The sequence below is a fragment of the Homo sapiens genome, chromosome 3, assembly GCF_000001405.40.
Source record: "Homo sapiens chromosome 3, GRCh38.p14 Primary Assembly".
NCBI classification, from domain to species: Eukaryota; Metazoa; Chordata; class Mammalia; order Primates; family Hominidae; genus Homo; species Homo sapiens.
The window spans coordinates 190696269-190721005 of record NC_000003.12 but is presented as its reverse complement, the minus strand read 5'-3'; the positions used below and the strand labels follow the sequence as shown (position 1 = coordinate 190721005).

The following is a 24737-nucleotide window of genomic DNA, read 5'->3' as shown; positions in this document are numbered from 1 at the left end:
GTAAAGTCCTCCTCTCCCAAAACAACATATTTTAATTGGCTTGATATAATAATTATAAATACCTATTAAGTACCCGTGATATATCTGACATGGTGTTAATAATTGTAGTATATACAATTTCTCACTTAATTAAAGCAACAATTCTATAGGATTCAAATGAGGAAAACAAGGCTTAGAGGGAAGTAACTTGTCCTAGTTTATACACCTAGCAAGTTAGCAAGTAGTAGGTACGTGTTCCATTTTAATTGGACTATTGAAATAGCGCCTCTCAGATGGTAATCCTACCCAGTTTCTTACTCTAATCCTGTCTTCCAACACACACACACACACACACACCCTACTTTTCTGTTATTATCACCAGAGTGATCACACTATAGCAGAGATATGGCTATGAACTCATTATTATTAAAAAGGAAACAGTGACCTACACTGAAACTCTTCTGCTAAGTAACCGTCTATAGCTTCCTACCGTCCATGGGACAACGTGCTCTGTTTGGTATCCAAGGTGCTTCATAATGTAATCCTCACACATGAACCCTTTCCTTTTCATGTATTTCATGAATCTACCAAACTTACTTTCCCTACATATCCTCAGAAGTTTCTCACATCAGGGCTTTGCTCACATGGTTTTCTAGATTTGAAACACTCTTCACCCAATTTTAAAACTGGCATTCAAACCCATTTATCTAAGACTCAGAGGAAATGTTACTTTACTTAAGACGTAAACGGGTTTAAGAAAGATTCAAATATTATCTTCCTTAACCCTTAAAAGATAAAGATAAATCCTCAAAGCGAATACCAAAAAAAGTTAGTGATGTTGGCCCCTGTGGATAAAAACAAACAAACAAACAACAAACTAAGTTACATCACAAGGTACAAATAGTAAAATCTAAAAACTGAGAAAACATGAATCCTGATTTGAGGCTTCCATTTGTCTACTATATTTTGTTGATCATTTCTGATAAGTATAATAACAGTGTTGAAATAAATGTATGTGTTCTTTGAAAATTTCCATGTCTATAGATTTTTATTGGCTATTTCACTTCTTTATTCCTTCTCAGGCTTTTATCTATAGTTAAGACATCCTAGCAAATCACTAGAACTGTTTCTAGCATGTAAAATTGTATAATAATTCTTCTATGTATGCCTAACATAGTTTGTTGTGTGGACCAAATTCATTAATTCATCCAATATACTTTTATAGCATATTTAAACATGTCAGGATTATGCTGTGAAGAAAAACATACGCTTGAGACACTTTGTACATTATTCAATCCTTCACAATATAATCAGCAGTCAAAGTGAAAGCCCTTTGAAAACTCTAAAATGTTTCACTGTGTAAGGAATTGTTAAAGTTGTGTAATGAATACTTAAAGATACATCATTAACCTTTGAGGTCAATGCCATACAACCTCCATCTGCTATCCAACAAGTGTCCTTTAGAGAGAATTGTGTAAAAAAAAATAAAAAAATAAAAAAATAAAAAATAAAATAAAAAGAATCTGTGGAAAAAGACTCATTGCTTATTAGTGTTATGTGGCATGTCTTTCTTACGTTCTTATAATTTGGTTTAGTCCTAGTTTCAACAGTGAGATTTCTCCAAAAATATAATTAGTAACATATTATTAGTAGTCAACATCTTTGAGATTTTGTAAAATATTAAATCACTGTTTAACTATAACTACAGTTGTAGTTAAAATGTGATGGATCTAGATCCACCTGTGATTTTCCTGGAGGATAGCTTTGCATGGTGATTCTGGGAGGGAAAAAGGTTCTTAACATATTACAATGAGAAAACATTGGCATCTGACTTCCCGTAGTGCTGTCAATCACTGTAAAGTACAACCTAAACCTGTTCATTAGTGTTTGCATTCAGATTTAAGTACTGGCATTACAGGTGAGGCAATAGGCTAATCAATAGAGCTTCTTTTGTGGTTATTAATTTAATATTGGTTTATGCCCACGCTGGAATCTGCCCTTACACGCATTTACTGGCAAGTGTATATTTAGACAGCACTTTTTTTTTGCTTCTCATAGTTTTAGGGATGTTTCATTTTCAGGTTCTTTCAGGATAACCATCATATGACTCATCCAATGGACATTTAATCACCATGTTTTCATTTTCTGTTCTTTGCTTTCTGTGGTACTTTCAGATCACGAATCCCTCATAGCAGCTGGTATTCTTAGGAAACAGTTTAATTTCAATGTTGGAATGAAATCAAAACAAAAATATTCTTATGACGACAAATCTGAGCCTACTCAAGGAAGTTTTTATTAACAAAAATAAAAAAGTATACATTTTAAGATTCACTTTAAATTTTTGAAAAATTTTGCAGTTTTTGGCAGAAGAGGCACATCTTGTTTTATTTCATTTCACTTTATTGTGCTTGGCAGATGCTGTGTTTTTTACAAATTGAAAGTTTGTAACAACTCTGTGTGGAACAAGGAAGGCTCTCTGCATCAGCGCCATTCTTCCAACAGCAGGTGTTCAATTTCTTGTTTCTGTGTCACATATTGGTGACTCTAGCAATATATCAAACTTTTTCATAATCATGATATCTATTACGGTGATCTGTGATCAGTGATCTTTGGTGTTTTTGTTTTGGGGCACCATGAACCACACCCATATAAGACTGAAGTAGTCGATAAATGCTGTGTGTGTTCTGACTGCTCCACCAACTGGCCATTCTCTTATCTCTTTCCTTCCACTTCAGCCTCCCTATTCCCTGAGACATCCCAATATTCAAATTGAGCCAGGCCAGGCACTGTGGCTCATGCCTGTCATCCCACCACTTTGGGAGGCTGAGGTGGGCGGATCACTTGAGGTCAGGAGTTTGAGAGCAGTCTGGCCAACGTGGCAAAACCGTATCTCTACTAAAAATACAAAAATTAGCTTGGTATGGTCCCAGCTACTCAGGAGGCTGAGGCAGGAGAATCGCTTGAACCTGGGAGGCGGAAGTTGCAGCGAGCCAAGATCGCACCACTGCACTCCAGCCTGGGTGATAGAGTGAGACTCTGCCTCAAAAATAAATAAATTTAAAAAAATCAAATCAAATAGAGCCAAACAATAACCCTAAAATGGCCTCTAAGTGTTCACATGAATGGAAGAATCACGTGCCTCTCACTTTCAACCAAAAAATAGAAACGATTACATGAGGGGAAGACATGTTGAAAGCTGAAATAGGCCCAAAGCTAAGTCTTTTGCTCCCAGCAGCCAAATTATGATTGCAAAGGAGAAATTACTGAAGGCTATTAAAAGTGCCATTCCAGTGAACACACAAATAAAAAAGTAAATCTGCGTTATTGCTGGTATGGAGAAAGTTAGAGAGGTCTGGATAGAGTATCAAACAAGTCACAACATTCCCTTAAACCAAAGCCTAATCCAAAGCAAGACCGTACTATGATCCACAAGACACTACAAACTGAGGTGAGGAGGCTAAAGAAGAAAAGTCAGAAGCTGGCAAATTTTTGGTTCATGAGATTTAAGCAAAGAAGTCATTTTCATAACATGAAAGTGCAAGGTAAGGCAGCAAGTGCTGATATAGAAGTTGCAGCAAGTTATCCAAAAGATCTCGCTCAGATAGCTGGTAAAGGTGGCTACATACTAAACAACACATTTTATTTTTTGTTTTGAGGATTCAACTTAATATTTATTACATATTCATTGCAGATAACTGCTAAACCCTCAAACCACACAGCTTAGTATCACACAATTTCGTCTCCAAAGACTACAGAAACAGACCAACTGTATATAAACAATCTTGTGGAAATATGTAGGAGAGAACAGTAATTTGGGTGAGAAAAATATGGCACTAGAGCATTTGGGATGGATATGTTGCACAAGCAAAAAGTTCAGACGCTTGAAAATATGGTCAGCTATTAATCTCATATTTCACCCAGTAACCCTAGCCCTTAGTCACCATGCCTTCCATCATCTTTTTACCTCTGCCTCTTCTATTTTTGCCACTTGTCCCTTGCAGCTCTCTCAACTCCCTTTGCCTCTAGTTTATTCTTCTTCCCATTTGCTACAGCTTAACGTTTTGGGGGGAGTATTGTAGCAAAGCTATTTCAAAAGCAGCAAAAGTCCAACTGATCCAATAAGTTTACAAATAGAAATTTATACCAACAGGGATGCTTTCAAAATCTTAAATTACAGAAGTGTTATTTATATTAGCATAAAACTTTTTTTAAACCTAAATACTTGACAATAGGACACTGTTGGATAATTTAACAAACATCTTCATAAGAAATTATTAAACCATTAAAATTTGTTTTTCAAGAAATATTTAATAATAAGGTAGATAACATATGCTTTTCTAACATGGATTTTTATGTCACTGCAGCTGAAGCAAAACATCCTGCTCACTGGGTAAAAGACACACATGGACCTGCTTTATGGGTTTTTACTTCAGTGCAATTAAAAAAATACTGTAATTGTAATTTCAGAACTTCAAAATTTCACTAGGTACCAGTGTTCTCTCCTTTTTTCATATGGGAAAAGAAAATTCCTTTGAAAACCATTTGAAGCTTGGACAAAAATTCCACAGCTACATTCCTCAGGATCACTTTGCAGAGTCTCAAGACTCAGATACAGCGAAGCTTCAACTTAACCTTTCAGAGAAGACATTCTATTAATAGCTTTCATGATCTCGTCAACCAAGAGAATGTTGGTGGCCATCACAGTGCAGGAGTGAAGAAGCTGTTTCTTTACACAATAGTTATCCCATACTCCTATTTCTGCTGCTACCACTGGCTCACCTATGTTGAGGTCCACATCCACAAGCTGACTGATTCTGAATATTCTGCTTGAATTTCAACTAACGTTCTTGAAGGTCAAAAGCAGAATTCTGAGCAAGAACCTTGGGAATAATTGAGCAATGCATCAGTAAATGCTTGAACTCCAAGCTGTGCACTGCCCTTTACACTGGTCTTCTGCCATTGCCATTTCCACGGCACCAGCACCTGGAACTGCACAGCCATCATTAATAGCTCCTCCTACAGTCCTCAAGCCATCTCTGATGGCTTCTTTGATTTGAGAGAGTGTGTGCTTATTTGGTCCTTTGATCAATAATGTGAAAGAGTGAGGATTGTTACATTGCTGAATAAAGGTGAACTTCTCCTCAGTGTATACTCATGCACAAGAACCACAAGTCCCAAGCAGTCAGGATTTAGGTCATAAAAGTAAATCAGAGCTACCCTGCCACAAGCAAGAGTCAGCCTCTCCATATTTCTACTTTTCGCTCTGTGTAGAGCTGCTATGCTTTCTTTTGCAAGAACATCTAAGGAAAAGAGATCTATTCCCTTTTGATAATCACAACAAATCCTTTATCTGAATCACCACAGATTTTCCTTTTCAGTTCTACTATTTTTTAACTCCATGTTCAATGAACTTTTTCTGATTTTATGATTTTTTTCTCTCTCTTCTTCACTCTTGTAAATAAAAAGGCCAGAATTTACTTCCTTTTTTCTTACTCTAATGACACACTACACTTGAGGATGTATGCATCTTCCACCCTTTTCTTCACATCAGGATGCCGTGCTCCATGGTCCAAAACAGGCCTCTAATTAAGCTTGTATCAGCTTCAGGTTTATGTTTCATCTCCATGATCACAAATATGAAGAGATCAATAGGTTCATCTTGTTTGTTAATGGCCAAAATGGAGTCCACTACAGCCTATGTTAAGATGTCTGCAAGTTCAGCATGAACTTTAGTACAAAGAGATGTTCTGGCCACATCTCTTAAGTGTTTCTATGTGCATCTCTCTGCTTAATTTGACTTGTTCCAAGAACTGAAGGGCCCTTACCTTTCAACCTCAAATCCTTCAGTGATTATTCTGGGATGAAGGCCTTCAGAAATGTAGAGGTTGGCCTGTTTCAGTAGCTCTCTAATTATTAGGACATTGTAAGTCATACCATCACCCGTTATATCATCCTGAGCTGTTGCTACTTTTGCTATTAAGAATGCATTTAATAGCATTTGCATTTCGTGAATTTGCATTTTGTGAAGTGGCACATGGCTGTCTTTAGTAAGCTTGATGTGTCCAGCACAGAAACAGGCATCCTCATGACGCCCTTGGGTCCCAGGTTGGTCCTCAGTATGTCCTGTAGCCCCTGCACCACACTGATGTTGAGCACCAAAACCACCTGCACTTGGGCCACCTCAGCCTTGGGGTTCTGGGTCTTCCTGGCAGCCATGGCTGCTCAAGAGGAGGAAGAGCAAAAGACCTGTGCTGAGATCCCAGAGCCAGCACAGGCCGTAGAAGACCCGGATAGTGGCTCCCATTAACCGGGTCTTCTGAAGATTTTTAGTGTACTTAAAACAACCTCATGTTGGGAGAAGACGCCATCTAGAACTTTCATCAAGAGCAGAAGTCAATTCCTAGTTTCAAAGCCTCCAAGGATAAGCTGACTCTCTTGTTAGGGGCTAATGCAGATGGTAACTAAGTTGAAGCCAAATCTCATTTGCCATTCTGAAAATCCTAGGGTCCATAAGAAGTATGCTAAATCTACTCCGAAGATGTGACTCTATTGCTGCAAGTTCATGATAGAACTTGAATGGGTGAAGAGTTTCTTCTTATGAATGAGCCAAAAAGAGTGTTTTGTTTTTTAAAGATGGAATCTACTCCTGGTGGACATGCTGTAAATATTGTGAAATGACAGCAAAGGATTTAGAATATTACATAAACGTAGTTGATAAAGCAGTGGCAGGGTTTGGAGGACTAACTTCAATTTTGAGAGAAGTTTTACAGCATCACACACTACAGAGAAATCTTTTGTGACAAGAATGTTCTTGAGTCAATCAATGGAACAAACTTTATTATTGTTTTATTTTAAGAAATCCTCACAGCCTCCCCAACCTTCAGCAACCAGCACTCTGATCAGTCAGCAACCATTAACATCGACGTACGATCTTACACCAACAAAAAGATTAGGACCTGCTGAAGGTCCAGGTTGACGGTTAGCATTTTTTAGCAAGAGTATTTTTATATAAGATGTATGTACATTGTTTTGTTGACATAACGCTATTGCACACTTAATAGACTATAGTATGTCATAAACATAATATTTATATGCACAAGAAAACCCAAATTTTTGTGTGGCTCACTTTATTGCAAAATTCACTTCATTGCGGTGGTCTGGAACTGAATTGCTAGTATCCATAAGGTATGCCTGTATTGGAAAATCATTTGAAAGCCAAGTTTTAGCATAGAGCACCATTGGAATAGTAAGCCAGAAAGGTCTATAGGAATTGTCTCCATCCAATCTTTGTACCTCAGAGATAGAGGAAATGAAGTCCATGGAAGCAATTTAATTTGTCTATGGTGACTCCTCAACTTAGCAGCAAAGCCCAAGCCCCCAATGCTGTTTCAGTACACTTCACTATCTCACACAAAGTGGGTTAAAACCTTACTTTGCAAATTAAAAGCACATTCTCATCTGATAACATGCTTCTGACATTGTGATTGGAAAAGTACAAACACACACAATGAAAAGAATGACTTTTCAGATTCTCCAGATTCTTTTCTGATAGTTTAGCTATTACATGTAGATAATCTGAAACATTAAAAGAAACAAAGAATATAATTCACCCAGGGAGTAGATTATGCCAGACTCTTAAAAAAGGAATTTAAGTTCTGAAGAATAATTATGAAGTGTCAATCAATTGGCAGTAGTAGGAAGAGCATCCCTGGCAGAGAGAATAGCATAAGCAAAATCCTTAAAGCAGGAAATCTCTCAGCACTTTTTCAAATGAAATAAAACAATTATGATTGGAACATAGTGAGTGAAGCAAAAGCTGATGTTGAAAAAGTGGATAAACATCAGCCTATTCTGGACTTATGGACCATGCTGAGGAATTATATTTTACCTTTTACTGTTATAGAAAAACTTTAAAACATCTTAAGCCAGGAAAGGGGATGATATAAATTTTAGAAAAGACTCTTCTCAGTTCCATATGCATTATTTGTAAGAAGAGATGAAGAATGGAGGTGAGATCATCAGGTAGGAGGTTTATTGTGATAAGCCAAGAGAATACTAGTGATTATTTGAAGACTAGAAAGGTAGCAGTGGAGTTGGAGAGGAATGCACAGACTTGAAGTTAATTTTTGAAGTAGAACTAACAGATTTTGAACAAGCTTCTCTGGTTAAAGAGACTAAAATCTTTACTCAAAAATTATATAATCAAGTAATATTGCTTACTTGATTATATAATTTGATATACCTCTTTTATTGATTCCTTCTTCATTTATATAGACCAAAAACTGTCAGATCCTCACAAACTGTCAGGGAAGCTATTATCTAGGCTTTATTTTGTCCCCAGGGCACACATCTTCTTTAGTCAGTGTCTATAAAATCCACCTTCCCCACATTCAGATTCTTATTTATCCACTCAACAGTTGTGAGAACATGGACAAGTCATAAAACCCTTTAAACTCATTTCCATGAGGAAAAGAAAACACTTCCCACTAGTCTCCCCCATCTTAATTTGTTATTTGCTCTGAGGCTTAGTAAGATAATAGGGACATCCTAGTTTCCAAAAAAATTAAAAGCCCTTTTATCACATTTCTCCCTTAAACACACACACACACACAAACACACACACACACATTTAAAACCACTAAAGAGATGTTTTAAGACACAAATATACAAGGACAATATTGGAAGAGACTTTTCTTTCAACCTTACCAGTCTAAGGAGAAAGACTAACATCATATCAAGAATTCAAGCAAGTCTCCTTACGGGTAACAAGCCAAGCCAAGCACTCAGAGAATTTAATCCACTTTTGGATCTGATTCATTAGAGGAAATGGGCTGAGAGAGGTGGCTCACACTTGGAATCCCAGCACTTTGGGAGGCCAAGGCCGGTGGATCATGAGGTCAAGAGATCGAGACAATCTTGGCCAACATGGTGAAACCCCGTCTCTGCTAAAAATACAAACATTAGCTGGCCATGGTGGTGCATGCCTGCAGTCCCAGGTACTCGGGAGGCTGAGGCAAAAGAATCACTTGAACCAGGAGGCGGAGGTTGCAGTGAGCCAAGATCACACCACTGCACTCCAGCCTGGTGACAGAGTGAGACTCCATCTCAAAAAAAAAAAAAAAAAAAGAGGAAATGACAACTGCCAAGGATGGACAAATGTCCGAACGTCACCTCTAATATAAAAGATATAGACAGAAATACACAGAATAAAAAACAACTTGGAAGGAACAGAGCTTGTGTGAACAGAAAACAGAAAGAACTTTAGTAAAACTATAATTTTAATCTTCAGAGAAATAAGAAAAACATTTCAGCCAGCCATGAAACAAGAAGTGCTATAACAAAATCAAAGTACAAAAACATGTAATAGTAGAGGTGAGGAACTCAATAGAAAATTTGGAAAAAAAAAACAGGTTTAGGAAATGATGAAAATAGAACAGCAAGTTGAGAAAATAGAACATGGGAAAAAATATTAAAAATTACAGAATGAGTTCAGGAGGTCCCACATATAAGTGAGAGGACCTCTAGAAATAGAACAAAAAAAGAAAGAAAAGGAAATTACTTATAAAATATAAATAAATATAGTATATAGTATATAAATACTAACTGATATAAGTGGAATAAAACACATCCAAATTGAGCAAATACAAGAACATAGGATGCAAAGAGAAAAATCTTACAGCCTTCCAGGAAGAGAAAATAAAATTAGATATCATATGTAAGACTGGGATTCAAAGTGTCTCTGTAGTTCTCAAAAAAACAGTGCTTGAGCAATGCCTTCAAAATTTTAAACTAAATAATGAAAAACCTAAAATTTTAATCTAGACTAATTAAAAATCTGATAATATAATGAAAACATTTTAGTTTAGTTCACAACGTAAAGTTCATGAACCATTGCTCAGAAAGCTTCTGATTTTGCCTTTCACTTCAATACAGGATCTAGCGGATCTAACACAGGGGACAAGTAAGGGGAATCCTCAGGGTTATGCTGAAGGGCAATTCCAGATGACAATTGAACAGACGTAAAGAGCAACCAGTTAGATTAAGCAGTGTGACCCAAGAAACAGATATGCTAATGGCTATTACTACTAAGAATCCTTCAGCTCTGGGATACCTGGCTCAGGTTACTATTAACCTGGACCATATGCTGATGAAGTCCCCACTCTTGCTTCTATGCACTGTTGTCAGCTGAGGACATTCACTCTACCATACTGAAATTTTCTGAGAGCTGGAAGTTGGTCATGGTGAGCCTAGAAGAAAAAACAAATCAAACCATCCCACTCTCGAACCATATTCATGCCAGATATCCAGTATTCGGCTCACTTTATAGATCTGTCAGATGCCTGACTGTGGAGCTTTCTATAGCTCCCTCGGCTCATTCACTACCTTTCCCATTTAATTCTCCAAAAGAAATTCTTATAACTTCAAAAGGAAGCTGAAAAATATGCTATGATCTAAAGACTCTACCTAAACTATTTTCTACTAGGATCCTTGTTCTGATGACAACGCGGCTTTTCTTACAGAGTCTTTGGTGTTTCCCACTCAGTTTTTCTATGTATAGATTTCCATATTTATTTATATATAAATAATTGAAAAATAATTTTAAAATCAGTAAGAAAAAGAGACGCAAGATGTGTGATGCTTAGCATAGTGCCTGATACCTAGTGAAGTTTCAATATATCACAAGTACAATTGTTCAAATTTTATGTAGTCCTTAAATTTCTTGGATTTCCATGAAAGCTCCTGTTTGCCCGCTCACACCAGTGCCTAAAGGCTGAATGACCAGTGAACTTTTCTTGGCGTTTCCAACTCCCCTCTAGACCTTCACGTTTTCAGTTCTTATAATATTGGATGAGGTCTAGTTTTTATATTAAATCCCTTATTCACATGATACCCACAATGGCTCTGTTTCCCTGACCAATAAAGTTGTGATAATGTGCTCTAAGGTCTCTTCCAAATCTGACATTCTATGATTCTCTTAATTCCATCCCATATGATATTATATGATTTACGTATATCTCAGTAAATAGCAAGGAGCAGATTCAGGCCCATTCATTCATTTTCAGCAGACAACAAGGAAGTTCAGCCCACTGTAAGTTTTCATGTACTTCCCAGAACACCAAGAACTGAGTTCTCAGATTTCCAATATATAACCAATAAAAGAGTTTACAATGACTGCGTACGAATTAAATAGGCACACAGGCTTACCTGCATAACAGTATATATTTACAGCACATGTGCTTAAAATAAGTTAAATAAGAAATAACAACCCCTTCTATTCATGCTGCTTAAGTATACAAAGACAAAATGCAAACTAAAGATTTGTACAATGACTAAGGCCGAGCTGTCTCCACCCATCAACTCCTTCCCATTAATCCTCAATTGTTGCAAAAATATTTAGCTTGTACCCGAAGGAGAACAATATCTCAGAAACTATTCCAAGACAATAAATCAAGAAAGCTGGTTTGTTCACATTTTTTCTTTCTTTTTTTTTTTTTTTCTTTTTTTGCCATTCTTGAGGTAAACCTCCCACAGAGAAAGTTATGCCATGCAAGGGATTCAGCATAATGAATGAAAATATATTTGTCACCCATGGATTCTTTTCTGTGGCACAGTTCCAATCCACAATCCTGGACAGAAAAAAAGTGTGTGCTTGTGTGTGTTTGTGTGTATGTGTGTTGTATGGTTTCTTAACTTTATAATTGCAGCTGTTCAAACATTTATCATTTTATGCTACAAAATAAGGAATTCACGGGAGCACAGAGAAGCAGCATATTCTTCCATCAGTTTAGCATTTGTTCTGGGATTTAAACAAAATTAATTAAGAATGCATGTGGTTTTCATGTAAACTAGTCTGGCTCCTCCAAATAAATCCAAGAATTATTCTTTCTTTGCAACCTTCTTCTGCTGAAACCCTTACCAATCCACCTTTACATGCCACTTTAGCTATGAAAGTTATTTTACAGTTTAAAAATGCTTTTATATACATAAAATAGGGCAGCAGAATATAGGAGGAAGAGACACTGCCTTTGGAGTCCGAAGATCCTTACCATCTGTGCAACCAAGTGGGTGGGACAGTGGAGGTGGGAGCCTCCACTATTTTGAACCTCAAGTTTCTTGGAAAATTTCTGTCAGACTTAGATGAGATCATTCATGTGAAGTTGATTTGTGAAAGGTCTAGAATGAGACAAAGAAAGAGTATTAAATCAAGAGGCGTGCAGTCAATTTGCATTTTATAGATGACGATCAGCCATTAAATGGTCCACTAAAAATTAAACAGAGGCATGTCAAAACGAGAAATACAAAGTCTTGGCTACAAGTGCAATATTCTCTCCACTCCATCTCACTGCCCCTTGTTATTTTCCTCTCCTTTTCTTGAAATCTTTTTCTCCCTGGTATAGACTACATCATCTAAAGTAGAAATGATAAAAAAGAGCATGCGATTGGAATTTAAACTTTCTGAGTTTAAATCTGAGCTCGCTCGCTCTCTCTCTCACTTGTTTTGTGACTTTTGAGTATATTAACTTCTCTTTGCCTCAATTTTACCACCAGTAAAATTAAAATAAAATTGGCATCAACATCGTAGTGCTGTTTTGAAGATTATACGAGCCAGCAAATGTAAAGTACTTAGAATCATGCCTGGTAGGTAGAAAATATTCAACAAATGTTAAGTGTTTTTATGTAAATGATCCTATAGTGTCACCATGTTAATGTGATCTATTGTGCTGGCTTTGCCATAATAGTCAAAGCAACATCACTCATACCTGGTATGCTTAAAGCACTGGTGATGAGGCAGGAATAATATGAGTAGGATTATGTTGTATTTATTGTCAGAAACTGAGCAGAATATCTTAAAAGAAGTTCCAGCTTCAAAATGTACAACGCCATTTAATGCTATTGCTGGAAAGTCCAGAATATATGGAACAACCATATTTGAATAAAGGCATGCTGTTTTAGTCCATTTTCTGTTGCTAAACTGAATACCTGAGACTGGGTAATTTGTAAAGGAAAGGAATTTATTTCATACAGTTCTGAGGTTGGGAAGTCCAAGGGCAAGGAAGTGTATCTGGTGAAGGGCTTCTTGCTGGTAGGACTCTGCAACGTTCCAAAACAATGCAGGGCATCACATGGTGAGGAGCCAAGTTTGCTAAATGGGCTTTTATAACAGATACACTCTTGTGATAACCCATTAATTCATTAATCCATGAATGGATTGATCTATTCATGAAGGCAGAGTGCACATAACTCAATAACCTCTTAAAGGCCCCACCTCTTAATACTGGTACATTGGGGAGTAAGTTTCAACATGAGTGTCAGAGGTGACAAACTCAAACCATAGCAATGTACATTACTTATTTCTTTTTGGTTAAAACTGTAGAATCTTTGAAAGGGCTAGGAATGACTAGAAAATATACTAGATCAACTATTTTCTATGCTTAGACAGAATTATTTGGAAGCTAATTAGTAGAAGACTCCTTTGATATATATATATAGTAAGTGGGGTACACCAGAAACACAAATCCTAAAATGTCAGGATGTAAAGGGAATTTGGGGTCACCCCTCTCCCCATCCCACTCAATAAATAACTTTCCTCTCTAACATTTCCTATAAGCGATCTGCTAGCCATTATTTAATGTTTTGAGAGACAGAAAAATTCTCAACTACCAAGGAAGCCACCTTACCACCTGATAATTTAGACTTTTGAATGTTTTTCTTTACTTTGAACACAATTTTGTTTCATAGTAACTTCCATACAGGAACTAATTCCTAGTGCAAAAAGAATGATAATATTCTATAAACAATAAGGACTATGAATACGTACTATAAAACTAAAGTTGTGGCTGGGCACAGTGGCTCATGCTGGGAATCCCAGCACTTTGGGAGGCTGAGACAGAAAGATCACTTAAAAATCTTCCAGGACATTGAGATCAGCCTAGGCAACATAGTGAGACCACATCTCTACAAAAAATGAAAAAAAAAATAGCCAGGCATGGTGGCACATGCCTGTAGGCCAACCTACTCGAGAGACTGAAGTGGGAGGATTGCTTGAGCCCAGGAGGTTGAGGCTCCAATGACCTGTGATCACACTAAAACAAGTTATTATTGGTAAGCATTCTAAAATCACCTATATTTAGGTATCATAGTAATACTCCTGAAATTAGACATCTCAAGCTTCTTGTCATTTTCTATCGGTTTTCACACTAAGTATGATTCATTCCCACCCTCATTTTTTGGCCAAGTACCATAGGTGAGGCATCTATAGGACCAACTCACACTTCATCTCTGAGCCCACAGTACGTTTTGAGTAGACATTTATTCCCTAGTGATCATTCATCCATGGATGAAATATTTGCTTCTATTTTACCCCACTCTGACCTACCTTTTCATTACTATTCACAGTATTTCTGGACAAATTTAGCTAAGTGTCACTTTCAAAAACGAAGTTTTTATGGCATAAAGGATCTTGCAGCACAGAGAAAGTTGTAAGGTGACACTTCAGTGAGAAAGATTTAATAACAAAGTAAGCCTCATTCAGTCCTGACCCCATGAGCATGTTCTCGTGCTTCTTAGCTCAGTAACTTCCATCTTATCTTTAGGTATGTTTTGTCTCTCTTTTTCTCGAGTTGAATGCATAGTTGATTTACTTTCAATCATTTTTATTTTTTAATTAATGTATTTACGGCAACATAATTTCTTCTAAATATTGCGTTGGCCTAATCTTACATATTTTCATATATGCTGCTATTGTATGTTCAGCAAATAATCAACATGTCTCAGAGATACAGCCAGCATAGCTGGCACGCCATGTAATTGCCTATAATTGTAGTTTTCAATCCCTCTTTATCCAAAGTTTTGCTTTTTAGTTGTCTTCTTTTTATATTTTCCAAGTGGATCATCTTCATCTGTCTACCGTTTTGCTGTTAATTTCTTACTATCATCACATTATAGTCAAGAAATCTGATCTCTATTATTTTTCACTTTTTAAAATATACTGAAATTTTGTATTTCTGTGGGTTGCAAAAATCTCCACTTTTTTTTTGACTGGCTCTGCCTTCTAGTTTAGAAATTTCGTATTCAGCTGTGTTCATTCTGCTATTTTGGCCCATCTGTTTTTTGTTTCTGCATTTGTATTTTTATTTTTGAAGTCTTATTTTTCTTTCAAAACAGTCTGATCGTTTTTATGAATGTGGTATCCTCAAAAAAATTTAAAGGACAATAATTATATCTAGGGTTATTCTGGTTCCTAACTTAAGACTTAGAGTTTAATTATTTGCTTTTTTTGATGTACAACTTTCTTAGTTACTCATATTTGAAATCCTAATTGGCAAATATTGGCCAATGAATAATTTTTCACTCCAATTTACATTTTTATTGCTGTAAAGATAAATCTGTACATGTAAATCGTAACTCTTTGTGGCTTTAAAGAAAAGGTTGGTCAGAGTGAAGGTCTATTGGGAAGCTTATACCTATGGGTGTTGCCATGTCTGCATTTAAAATCTGAAACTACTGCAGCTATCTTGCAACCATGGGGACAAAGCCAAGACACCAAAGATGTCAGATTGAAAAGGTTAAAAGGCTGTAGTTTTTAATGTTATTGCTGTCACTGAATAAACGACCCTTGAGATGTCATATCTATGGATTTGTTATTAGTTATCGTAGTTTTAACACTTTTATATAGACTAAATTACCTTGTCCGTAATTACAGCCAAATCATCCAAATTTATATACCACCTTCACTTTCCAAAAACCAATCAAAGCTGTCTTTTAAAATAACATATCACACCATACCACTCTCCTGCTTACATTTCTCCAGTTGCTTCTCATCTTATTTACAATAAAATATAAACTTTTTGTCTGGCTTTTAAAAGCTTACATAATCTAGGTCCTTCTTCCCCCTATGACCTACTCTTTACCATCACCCCACTAGCATTCTTTTAGATCCCCAAACATTTTAAGCCCTTGCACTGCTTTTCTGTCTCTCAGGAAAGTTTTCTTTCTGATATCTAAACAGCTAGTTCCTTCTTACTTACCTGTCGATTAAGAGATCAGTTTCTCAAAGAGCTCTTCCGTAACTACCCAGATTACAGCAGCCACCAAGTCATTTTTCTATCATATGAACTTATCTATTATTTACATTGCATTTATCATAATCCGACATATTTCTTTTTAACAAATGGGCATTTATATTATATGCCTAGAATGGCACAATACATCCTCAGTAGATAGCTGTTGAAAAAATAAATGAATGTGCTATTTATTGTCAGAAACTTTTCACTGCTCTGATAAAATGGTGGTATTTTTGTCCAAGTACTCACACTGCTGTGGATGTATTTTTGTATCTATTACATCATTTCAGTAGAATTTAGGAAAAAGAGGTAGAAAAATACATACACTTAGCAATAATTTAATAGGAACAGAGACAACTTTCTAAAATGTAATCATCGTTTCCTTTGAGCTCTTTAGCGACGTGAATAATACTGTTCATCTAATAAAATAATAAGTTTTTTTTTACACTTAAATTTTTATAGTCTCAATTCCTAAATGAAAGCAGGGAGCCAGAAAGGAAGATCACACATGAGGCACACATACAGAAAGTTCCCATTTAGTCCTTCTTGCTTTAGAATTATTCCTTTGCTTTAAATAGATATTAAAAAAATAGACAGTTTCAAAAGCCCGGATACTGACTAGAAGAAAACATGTTAATGAGAATGCAACCTGGTTCTCAAGTTTTCTTACCTGAGACATGAGTGTAGGTCAGTAGTTCCCAGATTTTGCATAGATAGATAGTTATGCTTTTTAAGAACTCATTTTTATTTTGACCAATTAAGACATTTATAAATACTCTTAATTATTGTTTTAAAATAAAAAACATTATGACATCAAAGATTGAGGAGAATATAATCTCAAAATAAAGAATACCTCTTTGAATGAAATACTTTTAGCTTTATGAAAAATTTACTTCATTGTTCCTATTTTTCTTATTTTGCCATGGGCCAGTGGAAAACTTACCACTAGTTCTAGGTATAGTAAGAAATTCCTGTGACTTAAGGCTCAATTTCACACTTCATGACCTCGAAAAAAATCCCTTAACCTTCTAGAGACCCAGTTTTTTTTTTATCTCTTTCTACTTACATTAGTACAAAAGGGTGAAGACTGAGTGAAATAGTAGTACTTGAAAACACTCTGTAAGCTGTAAATATCTCTATCTATGCAAGCAATAAATATTTTCCTTAAGTCATTCAGATTTTTCCAATTTGATGACATTCATCCCTCTTTCAACAACTAGATTCCTTTTCAATCTCAACTAAATATTTCACCTTTCACATTTCCATCACAGTGTTCCTCATCTGTGTCCTTAGTATCTCCCCTCTAACGTGTGTGTTTCTCCCATTAAAACCTGCCTGGCCTGTCCTGCTTATATATGCATAGTGAAAAAGGTTTATAATCTACGTAGTACCTCTGCCATGTTGTTAGGGGACTTGACAGTAGACGCAAGGAGGCTGTTGCCATAATCTGAGAGAAAGGATGACATTTAAAGCCCAATTAAGCGGTGAGCATCGTTGGTTCTGGATTTAATTATAGATCGGATTATGAATTTGATGTAGGTACGAGACGAGTCAAGGATGATTCTAGCTGTAACCCAAAAAAGTATCTGTGACCAGTCTAAGTCAATTTAAAGGTTTAGTTTGTGAAGGTTAAAGACCATGGCCCATGACATAGCCTCAGGAGGTCCTGAGAACATGTGCCTCAGGGTTGAGAGGTATACCCTTGGTTTTATGCCTTTTAGGTGGACAGAAGTTACAGGCAAAGACATAAAAGAGTACACTTAAGGTAAACATTGGTTTAGCCCAGAAAGGTATGACTTCTCAAAGTGGGGGCTTCCAGGTCATGAGTGGATTTGGTTGAAAGAGTTAGGCATTGCCTAAAGAATTTGAAGTCAGCATAAAAAAATTCTTAAGGGAAGCCATGGTTCTTGTCATATAGATGAAGTTCTGGTAGCAGGCTTCAAAAAGAATAGATAGTAAACATCTCTGATCAGACCTTAAATGGTATCAGACTTTCCTCTCCAGAAAAGATCTAGTAAGGGAAAAAGATTTTCTACAGAATTCAAATTTCCCCCCCAAGTGATAGCTTTGCATGGCCATTTCGAAATATGTCAAACAAATATATTTTGGGGTAAAACACTATGACTTCCTTCAGAGCCTGCTCTCTGTCCTGTGACACTATACCAGAGTCAGGTTGGGATTTGGTATCTTATTGCTATAAAGAGCCTGTTTTGTCAGTCTTAAGAACTCTGTTTTATTATTAATGCTGGTCAGTTGTGCCCAAATTCCAAACGGAGAAAGGTTTAATGAAGCATGTCTGATCCCCTCCCACACCTTCCATTCATGCCCTGAATTAGTTGCTCAGGTTTCTTTGGGATCCCTTTGGTGAAGAGGGGAGTCCATTTAGTCTGTTAGGGGCTCAGAATTTTATTTTGGTTTACATAGCCCTTTTCACACAGAAAACCACAAGCTGCTATAAACTGAGAAGGGAAAACTAAGCTTTAGAAGGAAGATCAAGTTTGGTTTTGAACATACTAAGTTTGAGACATCTATCAGACACTCAAGTAGAGTTGTAGGCATTTGGAAATTGGAATTTGGAGTATATGGGAGAGATGCAGAGTGGAAATATAAATTTGGGAGTCATTGGCCTATAGGTGGTTTTAAAAGTCATGAGGCTGGAGGATATCACCATGAAAGTGAGGCAGACCCAGAAGAAAATAGGTTCAATGTCTGATCTCTGGGCATGCTTCTGTTCCAACAGCAGAGAGGAAAGTAAAGGAAACTGACAGAAGTAGTCATTGATATCAGAGGCAATCCAGGATGATATAGTGCTAAAAGCCAATTGAAAACTTCTCCAGAAACATGAGGTTAGAACATCTCGATGGCCTTTGTAATTCAGGCAAGCTGAGCCTCAGTACCCATTCAGTCACACCAAGTGTAAAACCAGTCACTTAACACTGGCTTGCCAAGAATTGAGATTAAACGGCAAAGCCGTCTACATGAACAAACCACACATATGCACACTAAAACAAATTAGAATTTAAAAATACCACCCTTTCCCATAGACTTGAAATTTGAAGAATATTGATTTGAATATTCCAAGGCATAAGAAGAGAAGGTAGAATGGAAATGTAACATGGTGCTGGGCTTTCACATGGGCGCCGTTTCAACGTGATCAGAGGAAGCATCACTGGCCCCCCGAGTAGAGGTGGTGAATAAGCTAAATGACTGCCCGATTGAGTGGCATATCAGTCTAGTGAATCAAGCCTCAAGTACCTTATTGATGTGTCACACTATAAATCAACTTAATAAGAAATTTGCAGGTATGTTCAAATGTTAAAGTAACATTTTGCTTTCCTAGAGGACCTTTTCCCATTTTGAAGAGACCTGCTTATGCCATCTTTTCATGGAGATCAGCCATCTTCATTGACAGGTTCAAATTTTCAGAAACTCAATTTAGACCAAACTGTTAGAGAACATACTGATCAAATGATATGAGGCCCATGCAACCATAAAGCTGTAAATAAATGACAACATCAATGTTAACAGTGAGAAGGGAAAATAAAACCTAGGGCAAACACCCACCATATTTCAACAACTCTTTCTTAGACCTCAGTCTAAGTGCCAGCAAAATCTTGCTCTGAGACACGTAGTTGTAGTTTTTCATGTTTGCCCTATTGTTGTCTGACGCTATTGCCACATCTGACCTTTATACCTTAACTTTCCCTGTTAAGGACTTGCTATAAACCTCCCTCACTGCTGGCTGGCAATGCCCTCCAGTGGCCATTGTTGAAAAAGAGCCTGAAAAGAAGGTCCCAATTCTAGAACGGACTACGAGAACATGAAGAGCTAACTCACACTGATAAGCTGTTGTAGTGTGTTTTAGCATTCATTAGTTTTCCTATCTTTTTTCTTTTTTCTTTATTTTTTCTGACAACCCATCTTTCTTGATAGTCTTTCCAAATGTTCTTTCTTTCTTGACTTACTTCTAAACACATAAATCTGCATCCTATATCAATGCCAACTTGACATGGATGTCTATGTTTAGAAGGAATTTATGGCATAAAGGGCAAGCAAGTGCAGACGGTGTGGGTGCTATTTCAAGCTTTCATGGATCCTGGAACAAAGCAGATTATTTGAAGAAGGTTTTAATCCTGGAAAATAAATGCAAAAACAGCATTCACAACATTCTTTTCCTAAAATATGTTGCCTAGTGACCAAATTGAATCAATTGTCAATTGATCCAGTAGGAATCTCAATGGATGGTCTGTTTGACAAGGCTTTGTGAGGAAAAATAAGGATGAGCTTGTGAGGCTCTGTCTACCCAGGGGAAAGAAGTGTGTGGCAAGAAGAAATTCTAGAGAAGGAGTGGAACGGAAGACAGGAAAAAGCTATGTCTGAAAAATAAGACAGGAATAGAAAGTTTCAACTTAATTTTTTAAAAAAATTCATGTAAGATATTGAAGAATATTGAAAACATACAGCAATAATAAAAGAAATATTTTTATTTCCAGCCTTTATTATAATTAAAGTGCTTATTTTGAAGACAGCCATCCGACGGGGAAGCAAATATTAGTATCATCATCTTCAGACATTTGAGAAAATTGATTCAAATAAAGTTAAGGAATTTGACCAACGTAACAGATGATCTGGGTCCAAAATTCATTCTCTTATGAAAGAACATTATGAAAAAAGAAAATTAAAATGTAGGAAGGAAAATACTGAAGTTTGGAAATAAAGTAAAGACGTTCATTTAAACATTAATGTGCCCATATGTATTAGCTCAAGGTACCATAACAAAACACCACAGACTGGGTGGCTTAATATGAACTTTATTTTCTCACTGTTCTGAAGGGTGGACATCCCAGTCAAGACTCCAGCTGATTCTGTTCCTGGTAAGGGAACTCTTCCTAGCTTGTGGCTAGCAGACTTCTTGCTGTGTTCTCACGAGGCCTTTTCCCTTTGTCAGAACTAAGAAAAAGAGACAGCCCTGGTGTCTCTTCCTCTTTTTCTAAGGACACCAGTTCTATCAGATTAGGGCCCCACCCTTGTGACCTCACTCAATCTTAATTACCTCTGTAAAGGACCTGTCTCCAAATACAGTCACATTGGCAGTCAAGGCTTTCATTTATGAATTTTGAGGAACACAGTTCAGGTTATAGTACCATATTTTACCCTAGCTAAATGAAGTAAGAAGCTAAACGTGATACCAGAAATACTCTTTAATGCAATTTGTATAATACAATTAAATTTCATTCAACAGAGGGGACATAATCAAAAACAAATTCACCACTCATGGAAGAACAAATCAGACATCTAAGAAGACTATTAGCAAAAGATGGCCAATCCTTAGCTCAAAGCTTCAGAAACTAGGCTTCTGGAAGCAGTCTTCTAACATGACACCAGAAAGACCCTAAGGGCTAAACTACAACAACCTGAATAGAGTATCTTGATCTCATCTTTCTCAAATGTGAATTCTTCATTTCCACCCCAATATCATCCCTTTGTAGTGAAAGTTTTCATCATTTGTTTTTATCCAAAACAGACAGTAAGACAAATATTCAAGTTTTCCCAAGAAATGCTGGTAGGGGAGTAGGGAGGAAGTGGAGAAGTAAAATAGGAAATGGAAGAATTCTAGCGCAGGGGGCATTATGAAGTCATGTACCACTATTGGTAACTGGAGCTAAATCTTTCTGGGGAACCCTAGAACTCTAGTGGGACAGAGTTTATGGGTATATTATCGAGTGAGAGGAAAGTGAAATATTGATCTGTCATCTTCCTTTATGTTATTTGTTGAGGGTTGTTTCTGGGGCAATAACTATTGCACTTCTAGTTTTCCTTGAGTGTAGACCCAATATGCTCCTACAGTCAGAAAAACACAAATCCACAGGCAAATAGCTGCATGTGTTCACAGTAAGACTTAAAACAAGACCGTATTTTCCAAATTATTGTTTATCATCATGGAGATACCCAAGCTATTTCCAAGTCTTGTTGTTTCTCTATCCTCAATATCTCTAGAATACAGTCAATTTCAATATCCATAATCCTACTAGGCTAGGCATATCACCATCATTTGCCTAGACTTTTGAATATGTTTCTAGATGGTCTTCATCCTTTCAGTATGCTTTCCTCCAGTTTATTCTACACATGGAAGCTTTACTATAGTTATAAAATATAAATGTGATCATGTAATTTCCCTGCTTAAAACACTGTAGTGTTACTCCAATGTCATCTGGATAAATCCACACTTGTTATCATACTTTGGACTTCTTAGCATGGTTCAGGAGGTTTATTTCAAGTATCAACCTCTCCTACACACACACACGCACACCACCTGATGTTCCTCACAGTGAGTGTCTATCATGGCTGTAAACGTGTTCCTGCCCAAGGAAGAGGATCTCTGTAACCCCTCTCATACTTCCTATTGCCCAGGGTAAGTACCTCAAAAGAGAACCGAAATGCAGGCATATGATTCCCCTAGATGACCTTACCTAGAATAATAATATAAGCTATCTCAATACACCAATACCTTTATATATAGTATTGTTTCTTGTGATGTTGGTAGCCAGTTCCTAACTTTCTTTGCTGAACCCTGGCCAAAACATGATTTTCCAATCCATTATTTTTTCAAATCTGAGAGGAGTTTCTGCAGAATCTTCCCAGACAAGCTTCTGTTGGTGAAGGGTTACATTTTGAGGGCAGCCTCTGATTTGGAAATATATTTAAAACTAGGTTACAGGAAAACAAAACAAAACTAGTTGGAATTGAGAAGGTTGTGGGTGAGTCACACCTCAAAAAAAAAATAACAATCTCTGCTTCTCATTTCTGGCTAGACACTGGACCTGCAATGCCTCCTATGAGACTACATACAGTGGGCGTGTTATGGATGGCTGAAGCACAGCACGGTACTGTTGTAACAAGAAACAGCCTCTTCTGTAAGGGACAAATTGCCGAGAGTGCAGCTTTTGGTTTGAGTAAAACAGAAAAGGAGAAAATTGACCCACATGTGCCAATAAAAAAGAACATCATTTAAATAAAAGACCCGTATTAACCATTTAAAAATGTCAGGAATTAGAGAGTAGGGGAGCACACATTCCCCTTTATGAACTCTGAAAAAAATCATATTGCACATAAATCAGCCCCTGGTTATTTCTAAAAATTAATTTCCTTCCTTCCTTCCTTCCTTCCTTCCTTCCTTCTGTTCTTTTCTTTCCTTCCTTCCTTTTATCTTCTCTTTCTTTCTTTCTTTCATGTTTCAGACATACTTATTCCTACAGGGGCAGAAGCTCCTCATGTACCAAAAAATTGTTGATATTCACTGCAAGAATGTCTTAAAAATTATTTTTAAACTATAATTTCTAATATAGTTTTCTGCTGTACTGAATGCCTGAGATGTCTCCATTCTTATGCTATAAGTATACAGTTGCAAAAGAATTGCAATTCAATTTTCAATTTCAGAAAATTTTTATTTAAGACATGCAAAGAGATCCACAGTGATTTTTTTTTTGTTTGTCTTTGTTTCTGTTTTTGTTTTTGTTTTGGAAGAAACTGCATAAGAATTATTATGTTGCAGGCATCCACCACGAGGTGGAGCAAGATAAAATTCTTTTCAAGCTCTTTTCCACACACAGCCTGCATCAAAAAGAAATAGGGTCAAAAACACACATTTTTCCTTTCCTGAATTATTATTATTTTTTCTTTCTAGCTGTTCCCTGGTAATTCTAGTACATTCAGCTCAGTAAAGGTGGTAGCTGTTAGATTTCAGGTACTGCAATTTTCTGTTTTCTTCGTATCCTCCTGCAATTCTGGCATGCTTTAGTTTGAGGCTGTGCAGGTCAGAAATTAACCTAAGGTTTTCTTCCGTGTTATGGTTAAAAAAAAAAAAAAAACCGCACTCTTAGGAGAAGTACACTTTGTCAAAGATTTTAGTGTAAATACTTTCTGCCAGAGAGCTAGAGAAGTCCCAGCTCATGTACTGGTCATGCAAGTTAGTTGTTGAGACTGGGTCACTAGGGAAAAACCGGCAGGATTTTCTAATTCAGCGTAGTATCCACGACCAGGGAGCCAGAGGTGAAGGCTCAACCAAGTCCAGGGAAAACTCAGGGGCTAAAAGTACTTGATATCTCATACATTTCCACACCAGAGATCTGAAGCAGGCCATATGCAGGGTTTCAGTTGCCAAAACTGGAGAATTAGGGGAGTAGGTAGAGCATTACGCGAAGAGGAGCCTAGGAGGCTGGGAACTCTGCCACAAGATTGATTCTACCATCGATTGTAAGCTTGAGCAGCTAAAGACATAGGGTCACACGGGCATTATCAGTCTCAGATTCACGAATGCCAAAATTTGAAGTGTTTTAAAAGCTATATAATAGAGTTGTTTTAAACCAGGTTACGAGATTATGGCTTCACAGAGTTTACCCAGAGAAGTGAGGGTAGCAGAAAGAGGGCTGAGTAAGGCAGGCTCTGGCACTTCCTCCGATTCAACTAAGGTAATTTGCTTTTCTTACTATGTTTCCATGAAAGAGTTCTCTTGAGAAAAATGTATTATTATATGTGCTTAATTATATTTATTTTATTATATATATAATTATATGTATGTTTTTGTGTAATTTCAAAGAAGAAAGATAATACTGGGATGTACGAATACAGGAAGGTACCACGCTTTGACGTTCAGTATGCTAGCTGGTGAAACTACTCTCCTCAGAAGGAAATTGA

At 36.8% G+C, this 24737-nt stretch overlaps 1 long non-coding RNA gene and 1 pseudogene across 1 annotated transcript; one reads left to right on the top strand and one right to left on the bottom strand.

Annotated features, from left to right (window-relative positions):
• On the bottom strand, window positions 3633-6297 carry CCT6P4 (chaperonin containing TCP1 subunit 6 pseudogene 4; annotated as a pseudogene).
• Window positions 21692-23061, top strand: LINC02013 (long intergenic non-protein coding RNA 2013). The gene is made up of 2 exons (NR_183762.1): window positions 21692-22455; window positions 22856-23061. It is a non-coding gene; the product is annotated as a long intergenic non-protein coding RNA 2013 (long non-coding RNA).
• Window positions 23062-24737: the final 1676 nt, after the last annotated feature.